This window comes from Homo sapiens, chromosome 13 (assembly GCF_000001405.40).
Source record: "Homo sapiens chromosome 13, GRCh38.p14 Primary Assembly".
NCBI lineage: Eukaryota > Metazoa > Chordata > Mammalia > Primates > Hominidae > Homo > Homo sapiens.
The window spans coordinates 25,947,258-25,970,348 of NC_000013.11; the positions used below are offsets into that span (position 1 = coordinate 25,947,258).

Consider the following 23,091-nt stretch of genomic DNA (forward strand, 5'->3'; position numbering starts at 1 on the left):
AATGAAATATCTCATATTCAGGGTATGTTCGTGCATGTACTCTTTCTGTTATGTGATTTCCATTGTCTACATCTTCATTAATTCTAAGTAGGAAAATAGAGGCTGGGGACCATGTCCTTCCTGGCATCACTCTTGTCAGGCCCTGTGGGTGACTGCTTGCCTTTAGCACTGGTGAGGCCCGCTGTGGGGTGGGAGAAGTCTTTACCGTCATCAGTGACAATGACTAGAGTCTTCAGTGTATGATTCCTGCCATCTGGGAGTCTCCATAAAAGCCTCAAGGCCAAGAGGGTCTCCAGGACTTCCAGCTCAGAAGTCCCCTTTCATTCAGTGATAAGGAGAAGATAAAGATAAACATGTGGCCTGGGCAGTTTCACTCTGTGTGATGGAGGCAGCTTCACTCCTTCCCCATCCCTGTGGAAGCAGCTGAGGCTCTGGAGCACAACTTGGGCTGAGAATCACCCTCTTCTTCCTGGGGCCGTGACTCAAGCAGACACCGTGGTCAGCCTTTTGATGTGCAGCTACGTGGACAACACTTTTCCTGAGCAATCATCCCCTCTTTTCTCATCTGTTTGGGCACAGAATTATTGGTGAACATCCTTCATCATCAAAGAGCGACATCTGAGTGCGTCTTCAGTGGTGTTCTCTGGAGATAAGAGCAGATAAGAGAACATCATGCTTGCCACTGCCTGATGAGGGGACGTTCACCTGCACCTATTAATTAAAATAGAAGACACCCAATGGGCATTGGGCACCAGGGGCTGATGTTTGTATTGGAATATAAAAAAGAGACTTAGACTTAGCTTTCTCTTGGCACCAGCATCACTATTAACACTTACTGTCTGTCACCAATCAGCAACCTATTCCCAGTATAATCTGGGACTTCTATAGCACAGCTCAACCCTTCCACCTCTCTGAGAGGAGTGGTGGGGTAGCCCTTCTCCTGACAGCAGGAGCAGATCGTACTCCCTGGGACCCAGTTCCCCCTCAAAACTCATTCAGGAATCATCACACATCATCGCTGGCCACATCTAGGATGTCTGAATAATTGTGGTTATAATCGATAGTGTAAAAAATCATTAGTTATAGGTAACATGTATGGCATTTACCATGTGCCAAGCACCTTTTATAGTACTTTACACTTAGTAATTCACTTAAGCCTCACAGTAGCCCTACAAGGTATATTTTCCTCATTTTACAGAGGACAAAACTGAGCCACAGTAGTTAAGTAACGAGTCAATGGCAGAGCTGGGATTGGAGCCCCGGCAGCCTGCTCATGCTTGCTATGGACTGAATGTGTCTTGCTTCAAATCCCAGAGTTGCAGCCCTAACCTCCAATGTGATGGCTGCATCATGGGGCCTTGAGCAGATAACTAGGGTTAGCTGTGGTCAGGAGGGTGGAGCTCTTGTGTTGGGATTAGTGCCCTTCTAAGGGACAGCAGAGAGCTTGATCACACTCTCTATTCATACACAAAAAGGAGCACATAGTGAGATGGGAGGTCTCTGCAAGCCAGGAAGAGGTGCTTGCCAGAACCCAGGCATGCTGGCTCCCTGATCACAGACTTCCAACCTCCAGGACTGCAAGCAGATACATATCTGTGGTTTAAGTCACCCGGTCTATGGTGTTTTGTTGTGGCAGCCCAAGGGGACGCAGATGATGCTTTTCAAGACTGTGCAGCCCCTCCTGGAAGCTTTAGCTCCTTGGCCTTGCAAGAAACACTTGCTGGTCACTGTCTTTGGTCCTTTCAGAGGCCCTTCCTCAGCGGTGCCTCCACCAGGCTCCTGACTTCATCCCCCTCTGTGGGAGGAGGGGTGAGCAAAGTACCTTCTCCCTCTGCTGTGGGAAGCATGAGTAACTCACAGATGGTGTCAGAGGGCGTGTGTTCAGGTAGTGCAGCCAGCAGTGAGTGAATGAAATGAAATGGTGTCTGTCTGTTCCAAGGCTGGGCTCTGCAGGGGCAGGAGAACAGCTTTAGTCTCTGCATCCCTGCACCTTCCACCTGCAGATGCCAGCGGGCCATTGCAGGTGGGAGGGGACCCATCTCAGGGCTCCTCATTCAGATGGTGACAAGGTGAGGTGGCCGTCCACCCTATCTTTATCAGTATCTGTCCTAAATACTGCGCGTTGACATTGACGCTAATAGTCTGAATTATCAGGGGTTTGGCAATCGTTAGGCATCCAATTTTTCTCTCCTGGACGGGCATACCTTTGCTATGTCAGCACAGTGCCTCTCTTGGCTTTCTATGTAACCACAGGAAGATTGCAATCTAGAAATAGTGATTGTTAAAATTGCCTATAAGTACACAATATAAACAATATGCCAGAGACACACAGGCCCCCAGCATAATTCCTGGAAGCTGCAGTCTCACCTCTGCCAGAGAAGAGCCCCAGCAAGGATTGAGGCTGGGCATCCAGGTGCCTCTGCAGCCCTTCCCGTGGCTCCAGCTGGACAATTGCCCCTGAGACACGGAAGATAGAGACTGCACGTGTGTCTTCAGTGAACGTTGCTTTATTTATGTTGTTGTTAAAAGTGAAAGAGAGTACAAACTGCCTTTTTTTTCTGAGACAGGGTCTCGCTCTGTCACCCAGGCTGGAGTGCAGTGGCAAGATCATAGTTCACTGCCGCCTCCGCCTCCCAGAATCAAGCAATTCTCCTGCCTCAGCCCCCCAGATAGCTGAGACTATAGGCACACACCACCACGCCTGGCTAATTTTTGTACTTTTAGTAGGGACAGGGTTTCACCATGTTGGCCAGGCTGATCTCGAACTCTTGACCTCAGGTGATCCACCTGCCTCTGCCTCCCAAAGTGCAGGGATTACAGGTGTGAGCCACCGCTCCCAGCCCAGACTGCTTATTTTTAAACCACACAGTACTCGTTTTAAACCTGTCCCATTTTTACCTTGGAAATAAAAGTCGCGTATCTCAGGGGCGATATACTGTTTCTCTGCCTGGTTTCCCACGTCACGACCTGTGGAGAATGGCCTAGGAACCACCTGTCTTTACATCCAGATAACAGCTTCAGGAAGATACAGCAGAGTAGGACAGGGGTCGTTCTGGGTGATGTAAAGTAGCTATTTGGTTAGACCAACATTTTGGTCTCTAAAATTGGGTCCTAAGGAGAAAAATAGGAAATTAAAATGATCACTACCTGAAAAAGAAAAATCAGGTAATAATTTGAGGGAGTCAAGGGCCTCACCTTTCTCTCAAATAAGTAGGCAAAGAACAGTAACAGCACTCCCCCTCCTCACACCCTGTTTAGGAAAATTGGGAAATGTCTTCTTCTCACTGCCTGCCTGTTTATTTAACAATGAACAAGAGTTTAAATGTTACCACCAATTCAAACCAAACACACCCCATTCTCTATGTCCTGAATGGAGAGGGAGTCTAGAGTTCTTGTTTGCTTCAGGGTTTCCTTTCTGGAGCTTTATTTATTTATTTTTTATTTTGTTTAACTAGTCAAGGGCAAGGGCAGTAGTGAGAAGTGGGGAAAGAGAAGAAGGGGCAGTTGGATCTGTACCTGACTGTGAATAAACAGTGGAGGTAACTCGCTGCCTCCAGACCAGCCTCCTCTGTAGAGCTTGTAACCTTGGGCCATCCTGCAAATCAGTGGAGAGCAGTTGCTTCGGTCCTGAATAGCTCACAGGGTGGTGGGAAGGTTTGCCAGAGTTGTCCCACCTCATGCACACTCCCTTTCCCCCATGAGCCACTGGAGTGGAAACAGACACCATACCAAGTGCTGCTGAGGATGTGGAGCAACCGGAATGCGCCTGCACTTGCTTTATTCAGACAGCCACTTTGGAGATCTCTTTGGCTGTGTCTAATAAAGCTAATCACACTCTTCCTGTATGATAGAGCAACCCCACTCCCAGGTGTTGACCCAAAAGAACTGGAAACATATGTCCACACGCAAAAAAAGACTTGTAGAAGCTTGTAAATAGCAGCCTTATTCTTAATAATAGGCCCAAACTGGAAATAACCCAAACATCCATCAACAAGAGACCGGATAAACAAATTGTGATCTATTCGTGCAATGGAATACGATTCCAAAACTAAAAAGAATGAATTACAGATATGTGCAACAGCATGGATCCATCTCAGAGACATCATGTTGAGTGAAAGAAGCCAGATTCAACAGAACTGTACTCTGTCATTTCATTCATATGAAGTTTGAGAACAGGCAAAACTTAGCTATAGTGATAGCAGGCAGGGCAGGAACTGCCTATTGAGGGTGGAGATTGAATGAAAAAGGCACGGGAGGGCTTTCTGGGATAATGGAAATGTTCTATATTTTGTTTTGGGTGGTAGGTAGACAGGTGTAGACAGTTGTGTTAATGGCTGAAGATCTGTGCATTTTAGCATATTTAAATTATAACCCCCAGGAAGCATTGCCTCATCTTCCTGGGGGATGTATATGCTTGTTAAGAGCATACTGGGGGTGCTTTTGAGAACCCCTTACCATGTTATTATGTTAATGAACCACCACTAATTTTTGTGGTTTCAAAATAGCAAGGTTCATTGATAAAACTCCCTTGTGCCTTGGTGACAAAAAACACTGATACCGCCCACTGTCAAAGTAAGTGTGTTTGTTATTTTTGTTTTTAATGACACTAAATTTGTAGGAATGATATTTTTAGGTGGTTGCTCAATCTCACCCGCCATCAGTTGCAGGTGACAGGGATGTTAAGTTGGCAGATTTTTGTGCTAGAAGCTGTGGGTTTACATCTCCTTTGTGCAGGTGTCCTAGACATACCAGTGGCTTGTTATTTAAACATTGGGATCGGGTGTGTGGGTGGTTTTTAAGTTATAGTAGGGATGCAGGTGCTGTGGGATCGCTTCATTGTTTAACAATTCCTTTGCATTCACACAGGGCTTCTGAAATGAGTGCTAGTAGAATCATCTTCAGAGGATGTCCCAATACGTTGAACTGAGATGCCTTCCTGTTTGCTGTGGAATTAAGCTTAAAATTGACACCAAGCTCTAGGCATTTCGTACAGGGAGAGAGTGGGCATGAATGATTTCGGGAAATGAAGAACTAGATTTCAGCCTGGAATTTGCTTCCTCCCTCCTGTGGCAAATTAGCGTGGGCTCACTAAGCACTTCATCTGGCCATGGTATTTTCTTTTTCTTCTTTTTTTTTTTGCTCCCAGATAGGGTCACTCTGTCACCTAAACTGGAGTGCAGTGGCACAATCATAGCTCACTTCAACCTTGAACTCTTGAGCCCAAGCGATCCCCCCACCTTAGCCTCCCAAATTTCTGGGACTACAAGCGCACTACCACACCCAGCTATTTTTATTTTTTGTAGAAACAGGGTCTCACGATGTCCTGGCTGATCTCAAACTCCTGACCTCAAACCGTCCTTCACCTCAGCATCCCAAAGCGCTGGAATGACACGCGTGAGCCACCACGCCTAGCCAGTTTTCTTTTCTGTTGCATTGCAGAGTTAGGGCCAATTTCATTCATCCTGCACTGATATTTGCCTTCCCAGCAGATGATGGGTGAGCTCAGCACACCTGCACCTCAGCCAAGCCTTTAGAGGGGAGCACAGCTCTTTATTGTGTCAGCGCCACACAGCCACCCTGAGCAAATAGGTTTGGAATGTACATTGCCATCCTTCCTAAAAAGGTTCATAGTAAAAAGAGAAGGAGATTTACCTTTTGACATGCACGCTCATGAAAACCAAGGTTTTCAGAAAGCCAAACCTCAAAAACAATACAAAGAAGCTCCCTTGACGTTTGAATGGAAAGAAATTTTAGGAGGCAACACTGAGGGGCAAGGAGGGCTGAGAAGAGAAGGTGGCAATGGCAACTGCAAGGGTTCTTCCAAATCCGATTGTCCTGACAGGTTTTGTTTTATTTTGTTGTTGTGTTGTCGATGCTGGGTGGGAATGGATTGGAAAAATTGTCCCCTCCTGTGTTTCTTTTCGTCTTTTAACTTTACAAGTGCTCCTCATTTTCTTTTACTTACAATTTGAAGTTGGCACTGGTGTTGCTGGGCCAACCAGCATCTTGAGGACTCAACTCTCTGGCTGCAGGTGCTGTGGGGAAGGGGCAGACTTAAATTTTCTTCTGTAAAATGGGGACGGGGGGGATTAAATAAAATGCTTTATGGGAAGTTCTGGCACAGAGTGACGCACGAAGAAATTTGAGCTTCCTTCTCCTCACAGGTGAACTGTTGCTGCTCCACCTTTATTACATCTTTTCAAATCCACGCCACATTGGGGAACACAAACTGACCTTATGTAGCCCTGGTTACTCCAGCCTTTTTAAAAAAAAAAAAAAAAAAAAAAAAGCAAGGGAAATAGGCAAGACGGCCAAATAGGAACAGCTCCAGTCTGTAGCTCCCAGGGAGATCAAGGCAGACAGCGAGTGATTTCTGCATTTCCAGCTGAGGAACCTGGTTCATCTCACTGGGACTGGTTAGATAGTGGGTGCAGCCCACGGAGGGCAAGCCGAAGCAGGGTGGGGCGTTGCCTCACCCGGGAAGCACAGGGGATTGAGGAACTCCCTCCCCTAGCCGAGGGAAGCCGTGAGGGACTGTGCTGTAAGGAACCATGCATTCCGTCCCAGATACTATGCTTTTCCCATGGTCTTCGCAAACTGCAGACCAGGAGATTCCCTCCGGTGCCTACATCACCAGGGCCCTGGGTTTCAAGCACAAAACTGCATGGCTGTTTCGGCAGACACCGAGCTAGCTGCAGGAGTTTTTTTTTTTCATACCCCAGTGGCACCTGGAATGCCAGCAAGACAGAACCGTTCACTTCCCTGGAAAGGGGGCTGAAGCCAGGGAGCCAAGTAGTCTAGCTCAGTGGATCCCACCCCGACGGAGCCCAACAAGCTAAGATCCACTGGCTTGAAATTCTTGCTGACAGCACAGCTGTCTGAAGTTGACCTGGGACACTCGAGCTTGGTTAGGGGAGGTGCGTCCACCATTACTAAGGCTTGAGTAGGTGGTTTTCCCCTCACAGTGTAAACAAAGCCACCAGGAAGTTTGAACTGGGTGGAGCCCACTGCAGCTCTGCAAAGCCACAGTAGCCAGACTGCCTCTCTAGATTCCCCCTCTCTGGGCAGGGCATCTCTGAAAGAAAGGCAGCAGCCCCAGTCAGGGTCTTATAGATAAAACTCCCATCTCCCTGGGACAGAGCACCTGGGGGAAGGGGCAGCTGTGAGCACAGCTTCAGCAGACTTAAACGTTCTTGCCTGCCGGCTCTGAACAGAGCAGCGGACCTCCCAGCAGAGCACTAGAGCTCTGCTAAGGGACAGACTGCCTCCTCAAGTGGATTCCTGACCCCTATGCCTCCTGACTGGGAGACACCACCTCTCAACAGGGGTTGACAGACACCTCATACAAGAGAGCTCTGACTGGCATCTGGCGGGTGCCCCTCTGGGATGAAGCTTCTGGAGGAAGGAACAGGCAGCAATTCTTGCTGTTTTGCAGCCTCTGCTGTTGATACCCAGACAAACACCTCCAGCAAACTCCAGCAGACCTGCAGCAGAGGGACCTGACTGTTAGAAGGAAAACTAACAAACAGAAAGGAATTTCATCAACATCAACAAAAAGGATGTCCACTCAAAAACCCCATCTGAAGGTCACCAACATCAAAGACCAAAGGTAGATAAATCCACAAAGATGAGGAAAAAACAGCACAAAAAGGCTGAAAATTTCAAAAACGAGAATGCCTCTTCTCCTCCAAAGGATCACAATTCCTCACCAGCAAGGGAACAAAATTGGATAGAGAATGAGTTTGACGAATGGACAGAAGTAGGTTTCAGAAGGTGGGTAATAACAAACTCCTCTGAGCTAAAGGAGCATGTTCTAATCCAATGCAAGGAAGCTAAGAACCTTGAAAAAAGGTTATAGGAATTGGTAACTGGAATAACCAGTTTGGAGAACAACATAAAGCAGGAAAGATCCAAAATTGACACCCAAACATCACAATAAAAGATTACATTAAAAGATCTAGAGAAGCAAGAGCAAACAAATTCAAATACTAGGAGAAGACAAGAAATAAGTAAGATCAGAGCAGAACTGAAGGAAATGGAGACATGAAAAACCCTTCAAAAAAATCAGTTAATCCAGGAGCTGGTTTTTTGAAAAGATAAACAAAATAAATAGACTGCTAGCCAGACTATTAAAGAAGAAAAGAGAGAAGAATCAAATAGACACAATGAAAAATGATCAAGGGGATATCACCACTGATCCCATAGAAATACAAACTACCGTCAGAGAATACTATAAACACCTCTATGCAAATAAACTAGAAAATCTAGAAGAAATGGATAAATTCCTGGACACATACACCCTCCCAAGACTAAACTGGGAAGAAGTCAAATCCCTGAATAGGCCAATAACAAGTTCTGAAATTGAGGCAATAGTTAATAGCCTACCACCCAAAAAATGCCCAGGACCAGACGGATTCACAGCTGAATTCCACCAGAGGTACACAGAGGAGCTGGTACCATTCCTTCTGGAACTATTCCAAACAATAGAAAAAGAGGGACGCCTCCCTAAATCATTTTATGAGGCCAGCATCATCCTGATACCAAAACCTGGCAGAGACACAACAAAACAAAAAATTTCAGGCCAATATCCCTGATGAACATCAGTGTGAAAATCCTCAGTAAAATACTGGCAAACCGAATCCAGCAGCGCATCAAAAAACTTATCTATTACCATCAAGTCAGCTTCATCCCTGGATGCAAGGCTGGTTCAACATACGCAAATCAATGAACATAATCCATCACATAACTAGAACCAATGACAAAAACTACATGAGTATCTCACTAGATGCAGAAAAGGCCTTCAATAAAATTCAACACCTCTTCTTGCTAAAAACTCTCAATAAACTAGGTATTGATGGAACGTATCTCAATAAGAGCTATTTATGACAGTCCCACAGCCAATATCATACTGAATGGGCAAAAGCTGGAAGCATTCCCTTTGAAAACAGGCACAAGACAAGGATGCCCTCTCTCACCACTCCTATTTGACGTAGTATTGGAAGTTCTGGCCAGGGCAATCAGGCAAGAGAAAGAAATAAAGGGTATTCAAATAGGAAGAGAAGAAGTCAGATTGTCTCTGTTTGCACATGACATGATTGTATATTTAGAAAACCCCATCATCTCAGCCCAAAATCTCCTTAAGCTGATAAGCAACTTCAGCAAAGTCTCAGGATACAAAATCAATGTGCAAAAATCACAAGCATTCCTATACACCCATAACAGACAAACAGAGAACCAAATCATAAGCGAACTTCCATTCACAATTGCTACAAAGAGAATAAAATACCTGGGAATACAACTTACAAGGGACGTGAAGGACCTCTTCAAGAAGAACTACAAACCACTGCTCAAGGAAAAAAGAGAGGACACAAACAAATGGAAAAACATTCCATGCTCATGGATAGGAAGAATCAATATCATGAAAATGGCCATACTGCCAAAGTAATTTATAGATTCAATGCTCTCCCCATCAAGCTACCATTGACTTTCTTCACAGAATTAGAAAAAAACTACTTTAAATTTCATATGGAATCAAAAAAGAGCCCATATAGCCAAGACAATCCTAAGCAAAAAGAACAAAGCTGGAGGCATCACACTACCTGACTTCAAACTATATTACAAGGCTACAGTAACCAAAACAGCATGGTACTGATACCAAAACAGATGTGTAGACTGATGGAACAGAACAGAGGCCTCAGAAATAATTCCACACATCTACAACTGTCTGGTCTTTGACAAACCTGACAAAAGCAAGTAATGTGGAAAGGAGTCCCTATTTAATAAATGGTGTTGGGAAAACTGGCTAGCCATATGCAGAAAACTGAAACTGGACCCCTTCCTCACACCTTATACAAAAAATTAACTTAAGATGGATTAAAGACTTAAACATAAGACCTAAAATCATAAAAACCCTAGAAGAAAACCTAGGCAATGCCATTCAAGCATAGACATGGGTAAAGACTTTATGACTAAAACACCAAAAGCAATGGCAACAAAAGCCAAAATTGACAAATGGATCTAATTAAACTAAAGAGCATCAGCAAAAGAAACTATCATCAGAGTGAACAGGCGACCTACAGAATGGGAGAGAATGTTTGCAATCTATCCATCTGACAAAGGACCAATATCCAGTATCTACAAGGAACTTAAACAAATTTACAAGGAAAAAACAACCCCATCAAAAAGTGGCTGAAGGATATGAACAAACATTTCTCAAAAGAAGACATTTATGCGGCCAACAAACGTATGAAACAAAGTTTCTCATCATCACTGGTCATTAGAGAAATGCAAGTCAAAACCACCATGAGATACCATTTGACGCCAGTTAGAATTGTGATTATTAAAAAGTCAGGAAACAAAAGATGCTGGAGAGGATGTGGAGAAATAGGAACGCTTTTACACTGTTGGTGGGAGTGTAAATGAGTTCAGCCATTGTGAAAGACAGTGTGGTGATTCCTCAGGGATCTAGAACCAGAAATACCATGTGACCCAGCAATTCCATTCCTGGGTATATACCCAAAGGATTATAAATCATTCTACTATAAAGACACATGTACACGCTTGTTTATTGCAGCACTCTTCACAATAGCAAAGACTTGGAACCAACCCAAATGCCCATCAATGATAGACTGGATAAAGAAAATGTGGCACATATAAACCATGGAATACTATGCAGCCATAAAAAAGGATGAGTTCATGTCCTTTGCAGGGACATGGTTGAAGCTGGAAACCATCATTCTCAGGAATGATGGTTAGTTAGCAAACTAACACAGGAATAGAAAACCAAGCACTGCATGTTCTCACTCATGAGTGAGAGTTGAACAATGAGAACACATGGACACAGGGAGGGGAACATCACACACCAGGACCTGTTGTGGGGTGGGGGACTAGGGGAAGGATAGCATTAGGAGAAATACCTAATGCTAGGTATTTCTAATGTAGGTGATGGGTTGATGGGTGCAGCAAACCACCATGGCACGTGTATACCTATATAACAAACCTGCATATGTTCTGCACATGTATCCCAGAACTTAAGGTATAATTTAAAAAAAAAAAATTAACCTTTTCTAGTTTGTCACCACATTCGTGGACAGCTAGTCCTGGGGCACTGGGGTGCATATGATTAGTGGCATGGCTGAAGCTAATGCATTCACAAATCCTGATCCGCAGGTGCATGGGTGTCCCTTGTTAATGCGCCTAGTCTGACCCAGGGCAGTGCTGCACAGCTCATTGGCTTTACAGTCAGACAAACCTCCAATCCTGTGTCTGGCTCTCACCAGCTTGTGTCCTAATGAATCAATAATTCTACCCACCTGACGCTCACTTTCCTGTAATTTACTGCAGTGAGTTCCTAGGCATATGGCATGTAAATGGTCAGTAGATCACCTTAGAAGGATTTCAGACTCTGGGTCTCAGTCCATCTGTGAAAATTAGGATGGTAGGAACCTCTCTGAGATACACCTTTAAAATTAGTTATGTGTGTCACATTCACAGCTCCTAGTTTTGAAGACCAGCAACAGAACAATACTTTCAAGTCTTCATATAACCTTTATTAATTTAGGACAGGCTTCATATTTTCAACAAGAGAATTCAAAGTTCATTTTCCTTTTTTCCCTCAGCAACTAAAGTTCTGAGTTTCATAATCTGTTTCTTATTGATACATAATATTTTACATATTTACAGGGTACATTTGAGTTACAATCTATTTTAAATGATACATTATGTAAAGTCACTGTGTTCTTAAATAAATACACATAGTGAATGATCCTGCATGTATCCCCACAAGTACAGCTTGAACAAGTCCATCTTCCAGGGGCCAAGCACCACCTCAGGCATCTGTAGCATGAGCAAAACCCAAGGTCCCCTCTGGAGACCCTGTTTACCCTGCAGGCAGGACAACAGGAGCTGGAAGGAGCAGGCTGATCCAATCCCTTTCTTGTGGTTTTCTTGGTTGGGGAGAGAGAGTTGAGTTTTGCCAAAATACATGTGTTCTGTAGAAGAAACAGGAAATGGAGATACACAAAGAGATATGACAATACAAATCACCAGTTGGGCCACCCAGATCCTGGTTTCCATATACCGTTCCATGCATTGTTCCTGAGCATGTAAGCATGCCCACACTTGAAGGAGGCACTCTCAAGTCCATCGGGGCCTGGGACACCCCACTGTTTTTGAAGTCCTGGAATGTTTTTGTAAAGGTAAGGAAATACCAAAACGAGACTACAAAAATGATGGTATCTACTGATATGTATTGACAAATGTGTAATAAAGATGTGTACGTGTGGGTGTACCTCATCTAGGGGTGACACCTTCAAGTTTAATTTTGAAGCTTGGGCCAGTGGTGCTTCCTTTCCCACAACCACCATGACAGATCCTCTATGAGATGTTATCACAGAACCCATGTTTCTCAGTGGCAGTAGAATACGACATCTCTGTCAACAAATATAATTCTACATTACTTTAATTGCTTGCATGGAAATCCGTTGTATGTAAGTGCCATGGTACATTTAATAGATCTTGTCCTGGGACATCTACTTCTGGTTTCTTTGATAGACTAGCACTCTTGTGAATATCATTGTACTTGCTTCTTTGCATGTTTTCTTCCTTCCTTAGGATGAATTCTGAGAGATGTAATTGATGGGGCAAAATGTACTCACACATTTTTAAGGGTTGTAAACTTTTCGGTCAAAAGCTGGTACTCTTGGTTGTTTGAAAAGGAAAGCAAGTCCTCCCATTCCAGGGTTGGATTTTGACTCTTTTCCTGTAAACTTCACTGCTTTTTGGTTTAATTGTCATAAAATGCCAAGCACCACCAACAGGGCTATGGGAAGGGGCCCAGAGGCAGGAGGGCTGTGGTTAGGCATGGCTTTGGCCAGATGGGGAAGCTGGGTGCTTGGGATCAGGGTAAGCGGGTGGGGATGCTGTGAGTATAGACGCTGGGCAGGGAAGCCCTGCAGGGCAGAGGGAGCGGCAGGGCTGCAGTGCATTTGGCCGTCCAGCTGGAGCAGAGGATGGAAACCGAAGAGTGGGTTGACTCTTGGATGCCAGGCTTGAGTCAGGTGAATCCTGCCCTCATTTTACTGTATAAAGGGAGCTACTCCAGGCCTCCAGGAGTCTTAGACCCTCCCAGTCCCTGTGGGGGTCCCACAGGTGGTTAATTGTGCCTCAGGCCCTCTGCTCTCCCTCCCTCTGTAAGTCTCACTCTCCTTTGCAGTGAGCTCTAGCGAAACTTCTATTCCAGTAGGACCAAATGTTTGAGGCCTCCAGAAAAGAAATCCGGTGAACACGGAGGGTTTGTCACACTAACTTGAGTCCCTTTCTCAGGTGGCCCACCCTTGTAGGCCAGCCTCCCAATTCCTAGCCAGCTCCAGGCTCCGGGCTTTTGCTCATTCAAAACCAAAATTGAAGGCATCTGCCCTGCTCAGGCCCCCATCTCTGTTCAGAGTAAACTCCTCCCTCCCTCTGCTTTTGCCCTAAGTTCTCTTTTCAACTCACCTAACATCTAACTTGGCCCTGCAGCTCTGATCCCCAAAACCCTCTCTACCTGTTCCCTCCCAAGCTATCCCTGACCAGCATGCCAGGAACAAGGAAGTCTTGGAAGCTGCACTCCTTGCTGCTCTCCCCTGTCCTTTATCCTTCCACTTGGAATCTCTGTCCTTCTACCCATCTCTAGCTACTGAAATCGTGTTCATGTTTCCAGGCACATCTCATACTCTGTCGTCTTTAAGAAGTCTTCCCAGAAACCCCATCGTTTATATTCGTGATATATACCATATTCCACTGTGTAATGTAGATTGCACCAGAGAGTATTTAATCTCCTGAAGGCAAGGACTATAACCTATTCATCTTCCTTTCCTGGGTGGGGAGAACCACCATGCCTTGTACCAAGTAGCGATGACATGGGTCCTGGCTCCATGAATGAACGGGCATTGAGAGAAAAGGAGCTGATGATGAGTGAATGGAGGAGCCTAGTGAGGCAACGTTTACTCCTCAGTGAAGCAGTGTTGGTGACTCCAACAGCTCTCTTTAGGAAGGATTTAAGACAACATCCTGTTCGGAAGGGGCTTGAAGCACTTTATAAAAGAGAGGCAAGGGCACACGTCAAACTAGAAGAATGAAAGTAAGAAGAGAGAAGGCTGCAGAGAGGAGCAAGCCCCATCCGTCCCCCTGATGGTCCTGCCAGTGCATGGGTTACCTCTCATTGCATTTAGTGCGGTCTGTTGTTTTTGTGTTGTGAAATATTATCCTTGATTACATTATGTTGCTCTGTTTTTGAAAGAGAAAGTATTCAAGCAAGTGTCACTTCTATTTCTTGCAGGCAACTATGGTCCTGAGCTCCGCACACTTCTGGTTGGGATTATTTCTGGTTCCTACTGCCTGTTTGATTGAAGATGTGGCATGGAGAGCGTAAGTTTAACAGTGAAGCGGGGACCCTAAGTCTGGCTCATCTGTCCCTGGAATTGTCTTTCTCATGAGTCCTGCTACAGGGTATGAGAATGACAGGAATTCGGAAGAAATGGGTCTCCTGCCACCTGCCAGAAATGAAAAAAAAATTTTTTTAGTTTAACTTGTGCTTCATCTTGATATGAAAATATAGACAACCATAACAATAGAAAAATCAGCTGGGCATGGCAGCGCATAGCTCTAGTCTCAGCTACTTAGGAGGCCAAGGTGGGAAGATCACTCGAGCCCAGGTGTTTGAGGCTGTAGTGAGCTATGGTCGTGCCACTATACTCCAGCCTGGGCCAACAGAGCAAGACCCTGTCTTTAAATAAAAAGAAACAAAAAGAAAAGAAAAAATACAGACACAAAGGAGCCCTGAGAGAAACTATGAAGATCAATAGGAATGTTGCCTTATATAAAGGCAGAGTTTCTGAGTACACACCCATTCCATCAAATTGAGAAAGTATAACTCAAAACTCATCTCTCTTTATATCATAAACTCAGTGCTAAGTGGTCACGGATATGGCCTGGCTTCACTTCCCATGCTTAGAGGGAAGCTATGTATAGGTAAGTCATTTAAAATTACAAGAATGAAGTACTCTTCATTTTTCCAAACAACTCATAGTAGGAATACTTTCAGTAAAATTCTTCTAGAGGATTAGTTCACAGGTCTGTGAGAAAACCAGTCATGAAGATGGCATTATCATGTAGGTTAAATAGGAAATCATTCATATTAAATTTTGCTTTTATGTTTTAACATATATTGTTTTCAAGATACCTTGTTACAATATAAAAGAAGCGACTAAGTTCCAAGGTCATGTAAATTTTAATTTTATCCATGAGCAAAAGGAGGGCTGCTCCAAGTAAAATAGGACTGATTTTTGTTTTGGGTCGACCCAATTTCTCCTACAAATAGGTGCCAACTTCTCTGAAAATTGAGACTCCGAGCTCGGCTTTACTTTGGGCAAAACACAATTATTTTGGGGCTCTGAGATAGAGAAGTGAGACTTTAATCCAAACCTTCCAGGGAAAGACATCAGATTTCATTTTTAGCCCTCCGTTCCTCCCACACTCAGAATTTTTCTTGCCTGACAGTTATGGAAGTCTTTTGAAAAAGTCCTCATTTTGGCATTATCTTGACAACCGATGATACCTCATGCAAATCTAGATAGAGGGGGAAAGAATATTATAACATGGATTTTCTTTTTTTTTCCTGTTCACTAAGTTTTTTAACTGTTAAAAAATTAAATAATTCTCATTTCTTAAATTCTTTGATTTACCATTACTTCCATTTTATTTGGTAAAACCATATTCTGCAAATAACAGAATCAGAATCCTCAGAAATGAAAAGATTACAGCCAGAAAAAAATATTTTCTTAATCTAATAGATGTACCATAAGAACATAGTAGTTTTGGCCAGGCGCAGTGGCTCACGCCTGTAATCTCAACACTTTGGGAGGCCGAGGTGGGTGGATCACAAGGTCAAGCAGTCAAGACCATCCTGGCCAACATTGAGAAACTCCGTCTCTACTATAAATACAAAAATTAGCTGGGCGTGGTGGCGGGCACCTGTAGTCCCAGCTACTTGGGAGGCTGAGGCAGGAGAATCGCTTGAACCTGGGAGGCAGAGGTTGCAGTGAGCTGAGATCGTGCCACTGCACTCCAGCCTGGGCGACAGAGCGAGACTCCGTCTCAAAAAAAAAAAAAAAAAGAAAAGAAAAGAAAAAGAAAAAGAAAAGAAAGAAAATATTAGTTCTGTTATTTGCTCTTTCAGCCAATAGGCCCAATTGTGACACAATCTAGTCCCTTGCTGAATTTGTTCAAAATCTTTGTTTTGCAAAGATAAGTCAGTTTTAGATAAATAGGCCACATCAGCTGGCCTTTTCTATTTATAGTGATTGAAAACTAGTAACATGATTATAAATTAGTTTATTTTAATTCAGCTATCTCAAATTAGTGTCATTAAAACAATTCTATTGAGACTGTATATTTGCAGAAGACTTTAGCAATAGTCTCTTCCATCTGAAAGAGAATGTTTATAGATTACAAAGTGTCTGTGCTTCTTTGTCCATTTTCTGGCTCTTTTCCAGTGCGTTCTGAGTAATCATTCCCTGTCATCACAAAGCAAATTATCTATTCCCTCAAACAGGACTTGTTTTTGGTTTCCCCTGGCACTATAAAATTAGCACCATTTACATTTTAACAAGGATAAATCAAATGACACTACTCCCAGCTTCACCACATGGAAAGAGTAAAAGTCACTTCCTTTCCAAGGAGCTTGCCAACTGGGTCAGAGCATAAACCCGGGCTCTGCAGTGGAGGTGCCCGCAGGGCAAGCAAGGAAGGCTAAGGGTCGTCACTCTGCAGCAGGAGCACTCGGCCACCCAGCACCTGGCACCACGGGCCCAGAACTCAGCTTTTCCGGGGAGCCAACAGCATCTCAGCTCTGGGCTGAGCCAGAAAGGCCCCTGCTGAATTCCAGAGGTGCTTTCTAAAATGGATTTTTGTCTTGTTTTATTTAGGGGAGCAGGGAAAATAGCATATATTGGCTGTGAGCTGGAATATTTGTCCGAAGCACATATATGCTCAATTTGTAATATCTATTTAATATCTAAACTACCCTCACCCCTCTCCTCAAAAACAAGACATTTTTCAGTTTATTGGTGCATTTTCCCTTTGATCGTGAGGCCCATATTATGTCTCATATTATGCTCCAAACCCGAAGTATTTGTTTTTGAGGCAAGTAAATTCGGAGGCTTCTCACAAAAAGAGAATGCCTATTGTGAATCAGTTACCTCTGAGAAGCTACAGTGCTTCACTGAGATTTCTCTTTCTGAACTGCAGCTTTAGAAAACGCTGTTGGCTTCTTCTTCCCATGCACTGAACAAAAATATTAATCCTGCTTGTCCCGAACCACCCATCCTTGGATTTGAGTTGTCAAGTATCTACTGAGGCACGATATCTGTGATGCACCTTGGGGTTCCCAGAAAGGGTGTGTATTTGAGAGTGGGCACAGGGGCAGCTGAAGACCCTACCCTGTGATGGCAGCATGTGGTGATGCCGAGAGAGCTTCCACAGGGGTGCTGCGGGCCTCTCATCTTGCCTTGGGCCCATCTTAAGGATGTTTTATTTTGTTCTGAACTTTGGTGGTTATCACTCTCTTTTGAAAGGGCTTTTAGACCAGGCACAGTGGCTCACACCTGTAATCCCAGCACTTTGGGAGGCCGAGGTGGGCGGATCATCTGGGGTCAGGAGTTCAAGATCAGCCCGGCCAACATGGTGAAACCCTGTCTCTACAAAAATACAAAAATTAGTTGGGCATGATGGCGAGTGCCTGTAATCCCAGCTACTCAGGAGGCTGAGGTGGGAGAATGGCTTGAACCCAGGAGGCAGAGGTTGCAGTGAGCCGAGATCGCACCAATTGCACTCCAGCCTGGGCGACAGAGTGAGACTCCATCTCAAAGAAAAAAAGGCTTTTAAATTCCAGATTAAGGCAGGCCTGCCTTTTCAAGTATATTTCTGTGAGCACTGAAGAAAGTGAGTTGCTCCATCTTTCTACATTTTCCCCATTTCTTTGCCCAGTTTCTCGCTTCCATTTCAGGACCTGAGCTGTTAAGAGTAAGAAAAGAGAACCAGAATGAGGTAATTCAATCACTTTTTCCATGAAGTCTGTCAGCTTTCTGGATGAAGATCCATTATTAGACTATCTTAAGTCAGATTTGGCACGCCATAAAATGCCTACGCTATTATCCTGCTAACCAAAATTTTCATATGGGACAAAACTAAGCTACCTTTTATTAAAATAATTGATTGATTATATGTGATACCTGGCTAATGAGTAATTTTGTTAGATGCATGAAGTTTAAATTGCCCAGAACTATTTTAATATCCCTGCGCTTATATTCATCCAAAATGTTTACTGATGACAGCATGCTTAGGTAAGCTGCCACATACCCACTTTCATCTAGGTGAAATTTGTTAGTATTGCTTTATAAAAATAATACAAGCTCAAGGCCACTGAACACAGAGGAACCCATTTGCTTTTATCTAGCTGTATCTCCTGTATTTTACTGTACATCAACAATACAGTCCCCGATTCCAGAATGACTTCATTTCCTTATTATAATCCCAGATAGGCAGTTAAATGGAAAGAAGAGGTAATGAGCAATTTCTATACACAAATGGGCCTTGATTTCTTTTAACTTTCTAACTAAACTAATTTCTTTTGCAGCACGTTACATTTACACTTCCATCCAGGTTTAGAATTATATGTTTCCTTTTGACTTGCTGTTCTTGCATACAAAAGAAGAGTCCAGGGAAAGAGTTTCAGAAAAAAAAAAAAAAAAGGATGGAAAGTTCAAGATCCTTAAACAGTCTATTTCTTTTAAAAGTCTCTGAGAACCTGGAGACACCCTTAGGTATATCTGAAGACCCACAGACAACTTTCACACTCTTGAGTCAGTAGCCAGCACCCCAACTCTGTCCCTTCTGTGGTCATCCAGCCTCTCGATGTGGGGTTAGATGAAGCAAGCCCTGGACCACTGGGCAATAAGCCATTTACAGATAAGGGACTTACTCTGTCAAAGCTATGACTCAGAACACGCCAAACGCCAGCTCCTGGTAAGACCTAAGTGACATGCCAGTGGCTAATGCTTAACAACTGACTTTATAACCTATAAATATTAATTTTAGACCACTCACATGTAGCCTTTAGACAGGGGAGATTTTAGAATCAGTTTTTCTAATTCAGGCGTTATTAGATAAAGGTGCTTGGGAACAGGGTTTTAAATTGCCAGCCTCCCTTTACTCAGGTGCTGTTAAATGCATGCAGAAAGAGAAGTTGAATCATCCCCAGCATTGCAATTCAGTGTTTTCCAATAGCAACAAAGTTCCCAGGCTAGCTCACAGGGGCTAAACTAGTGGAAATAGTATCAAATTGCTGAGTAACTCTTGAATATGGGCGCAGTTTCATCCCCTGAGAGCACGCACAATGCCTGGGAGCACTGACATGCTCAGACCATTGCCCTCTGAGGCCATGTTGTGATTGAGTAAAAACCAGCAGCTTCCACAGTGGGTTGGATTCTGACCTAAGCTGTAGGTTCCCAGTGGCCAACCTTCCTATTCCAGCCTCCCACTTAGGAACCCCCTTTCCTCCCAGCCTGGGAAATAACAATGGGGTCTGTTCTACCCCTGTGCAGGGGAAAGGGGATAGGGAGAGAGAGGGAGGGTGATGGTGGAGAGAGGGATCCTGGAAGAACCAGCGATGCTGCTCATCCTTCAGGAGTAGCCAGGCTGTTCTAGGACCCATGCAAGCCCATGGCTCAGGGCAGGCGGGGCAGGCACTCGGTGGCTTTGTTGTCAGTCTAACCCCAGAAGCCCAGGAGATAAAAGACCACTTTTGGGGCCCCACATGTTACATAATAATGAACGGGGTACATTTTAACATCGTTTTTGACTCTCCTTTCCAGCAAACTGTTAGATATTTGCTCATTTCTTGTTTAAATTAAAATTCCACAGGCTCTGCTTTGAACTGCAGTATTTTATCAATCCTGAGTCTCAGGACACTGTTTGATGGAATTAAGTAAGGTATTATGTGTTAAAGCCTGTGTGGCTTTCCCTTGTTTACTTTGGGGGAAAGGATGACAGGGGCATATACAGTGTCTCAGTGCTAATACTCCATTATAGATTAACTCGGAGTGTCGGGAGATGGCTCACATTATCTTAACAGGCTTTCTTTCCTTGAAGGTGGAGGGTGGGTGAGGTGGTACAGGATTCTGCAGGAAGAGCCCACATCTTCAGAATGTTCCCATGACACCGTTTTCATTTCTGGGCAAAGGTGCTCAGTTTTTGTTCTCATTCTGTCTTTGGGTCCTGGTACATAGCAGGATCCTCACATGTATTTATATTTAAATTAAACCGATGCAAAGCTTTTCAGTCTGGTGTGTTACTAATTTTTGAGCCTTTTCCCTTTGCAGTTTTTTTCTCTTATATAACCTATATCTGGTTAAATGTCTTTTCACCTAGACTGTTTCCAACTAGTAGCTAGATTGTTTCCAACTGGTAGCTCACTTTTAGCTTAGTTTAGTTTTCATTTTATAAAGACTCTGAGATTGGCCAATTATTTGAGCATTGTGAGGTATTCATCTTAGTGTCCTCAGTAAAAGGGTAGAGGGAACTCTTCCTACCATTCAAGAAGAGTGAGCTGTCCAGGCTGCGGGTTATTTCATAAGTTGTATTAATGTCACTGAGGCCTGCGTGTGTGGACTCCAATGGTGAGTTGTTGCCAGAGGAAGATGGGAAACCTGCACTCTGGATTTGTGTTGACTCCACGTTTCAAGCCTCTGGTTTTGCATCCAGACCATGCACTCTAGCATCCTAAGCCCCGTGGCTGCTGTGGCAGTGGCTCTTTTCACGCTAAAGAGGGAGGGAGGAAACTTGCTAACCCCTGGGCTCTCTGACTGCAGTTGGGGTCCTTGGACCAGGGAACCAGTGCCTGTTCACTAAGGTGAGGGTTTAAAGTGTCTTCTTGGTTTTCAGTTCCTGACAAGAAATGCTGTAGAGGTAGACCCTGGGTCTTCGTGAACCCCACCCAGTCTTTGAGTGACTGGGCTGCTCGGCCGACTTCCGGTTCTTTGCGGGGTGGGGGTGACTCTTGACATGCATGATCCGGGTCTGGTCTGCAGCACTCAGGATACTTCCGGGCTGTGGAGATGGAACCTGGGTCATGCATGGAGACTGTGAAAGCTCCACCACTTCCCGAGCCTCGGCCTCCACCAAAGGGCATTTGGCTGTGGCCTGAGAGGGGAGCGGCCTGTCTTTCCCAGCTGTGTCAAGTCTCTATGCCATGTTCGTTTTGTCTTTTCCTCATAACACAGAGCCAAGCACACCTGCAAAAAGACATTGCTGGAGGAGGTGCAGGAGCTGGAAACCAAGTCTCGAGTCCTGGGAAAAGCGGTGCTGCGGGATAGCAATGGAAAGAGGTGGGGAACTCCGTCCCAGTCCGCACAGAACACAGGTGCTCCCGGCCCTTTTCCCTTATTCCTTCCTGTATTTCTTTTTCTCATCTTGGTTTTCGATGGGAGCACAGTATGCTCAGGCTTAAGAATTTTGGTTATTCTCAGATTTAAATCACACTCTCAGTGACTACATGAAACCTAAATCTCTGGAAGTCTCCAGGTAAGACTGGGGGTTTTATTGGGTTTAGAAGTGAGCAAAACAACTCATGTGCAGAAAATCGATGTTGTGGCAGTATTATCTTAAGGTGGAAGAGTCCAGAGTTAGCAGTATTACCACAGAGGAGTTAAAGCTAGGCCTTTGAATTTCAAACCCAAGTACTGTACCCAAGGATGAGTATCTACAGTGTGAAGGTTTGCATGTGAAATAATGCATGTTGTTATTCATGTAAACCTGTTACATTCCACTTCAGCATATCTAAATGGGGGAGTAGTTTTTAATGCTAACATTTTCTGCTGGGAGTGAAAGGAATCGTGTGAACTCCTGGAACAGACACTGCCGCTTGCTCTCCTAATTCCTCCTGAACATGAGCCTGCCCTTCCCCACAAGGAACAGCTGGGTCTGTGTGCAGTTTTTGTTTCATCACACAAGATGTTAAAATGTTGTTAGAGTGCACTCTGTTAAAATCTATGTACCATCAAGGGAAATTTCTTTGGGCCTGAGAACAATTTGCAGGGTACTAGAAAGCCATTGCTCTATTAAGGACATGGAATATCTATAATATTCTGAGTACAGCTCTCCTATAAATGCTTAGAAGGAAATCAGTAACCAACTGCTAATGAAACAAACATCAAGAAATCAAATACTTATAGAGGTCCCCACTTTGTGTTTTGCTTTATATTGTGTTTATTTGTACCATCTTTTAAAGCAATGAAGACAAAATAATTTTTTTGTTAAAGAAAGAGAATGCAAACATTTTGAGAGGCTTTCAAAATACAATTTCAAACAGATTTTAGAAAAGGGATGATGGCATAGAGTTGAAGTTGTGGTTTTGTATTTATTTATGAGTTATTTTTTAGTAAGTTTATTAAGCATTCATTTTATAGCAGCTATGCTAGCCACTGTAAAAAATCATCAGTCAACAAGACAAAAAGCACTGTCTTCCATAAGCTTAAGTTTGTGAATACATGGGGATGGGGGCTGATTTTACCGCAGATGTACATATAACCACTACGCGTGGTTGAGGCTTGTTCAGGGCTGTTCTATCCATCAGACAGCTGAGGCATAAGGCTCAGGACCTGTTAGAGTTTCAGGGACCTACCGTGCTCTTTGAGACCTGAAAAAAAACATATTCATAAGCTCCAAAAATTAGGGAGCAGGAAACATTGCATAATGAAATTAATAAATGTTTAAAACCCTATAAAATGCATATCACTCTTAACCGTTAAGTTTAGTAAGGACAATAAGTTTATTATACTTAGAAACAACTTACAGGCTCCCTTATATATCAAGTATACACAATGATTGCTGAGGGGGCATAAGTAATTTCTAAGTAAAATGAGAATTTCAGAGCAAAACTCTCAAACTCCTCTCAAACATTTTACAGGACGACATCACATATAATGTGGTGTGAGAATGTGCTTTAGAGTGTTTGTTCTGATGTGGGGAGGGGTCATCTGGCTTGAGCAATCAAGA

General features: G+C 43.9%; 1 protein-coding gene and 1 pseudogene across 8 annotated transcripts in view; one reads left to right on the forward strand and one right to left on the reverse strand.

Annotated features, from left to right (window-relative positions):
• The window catches only part of ATP8A2 (ATPase phospholipid transporting 8A2), a 653,878-nt gene that overhangs the window by 575,284 nt on the left and 55,503 nt on the right, over nucleotides 1-23,091 (forward strand). For all 8 annotated transcript variants that reach the window (NM_016529.6, NM_001411005.1, XM_047430383.1 and 5 more), the window contains 2 exons: nucleotides 14,318-14,406; nucleotides 21,318-21,422. In NM_016529.6, the coding sequence (NP_057613.4) occupies nucleotides 14,318-14,406; nucleotides 21,318-21,422 (194 nt within the window). The remainder of the gene's footprint in view (nucleotides 1-14,317; nucleotides 14,407-21,317; nucleotides 21,423-23,091) is intronic.
• Nucleotides 3,447-3,564, reverse strand: RNY1P3 (RNY1 pseudogene 3; annotated as a pseudogene).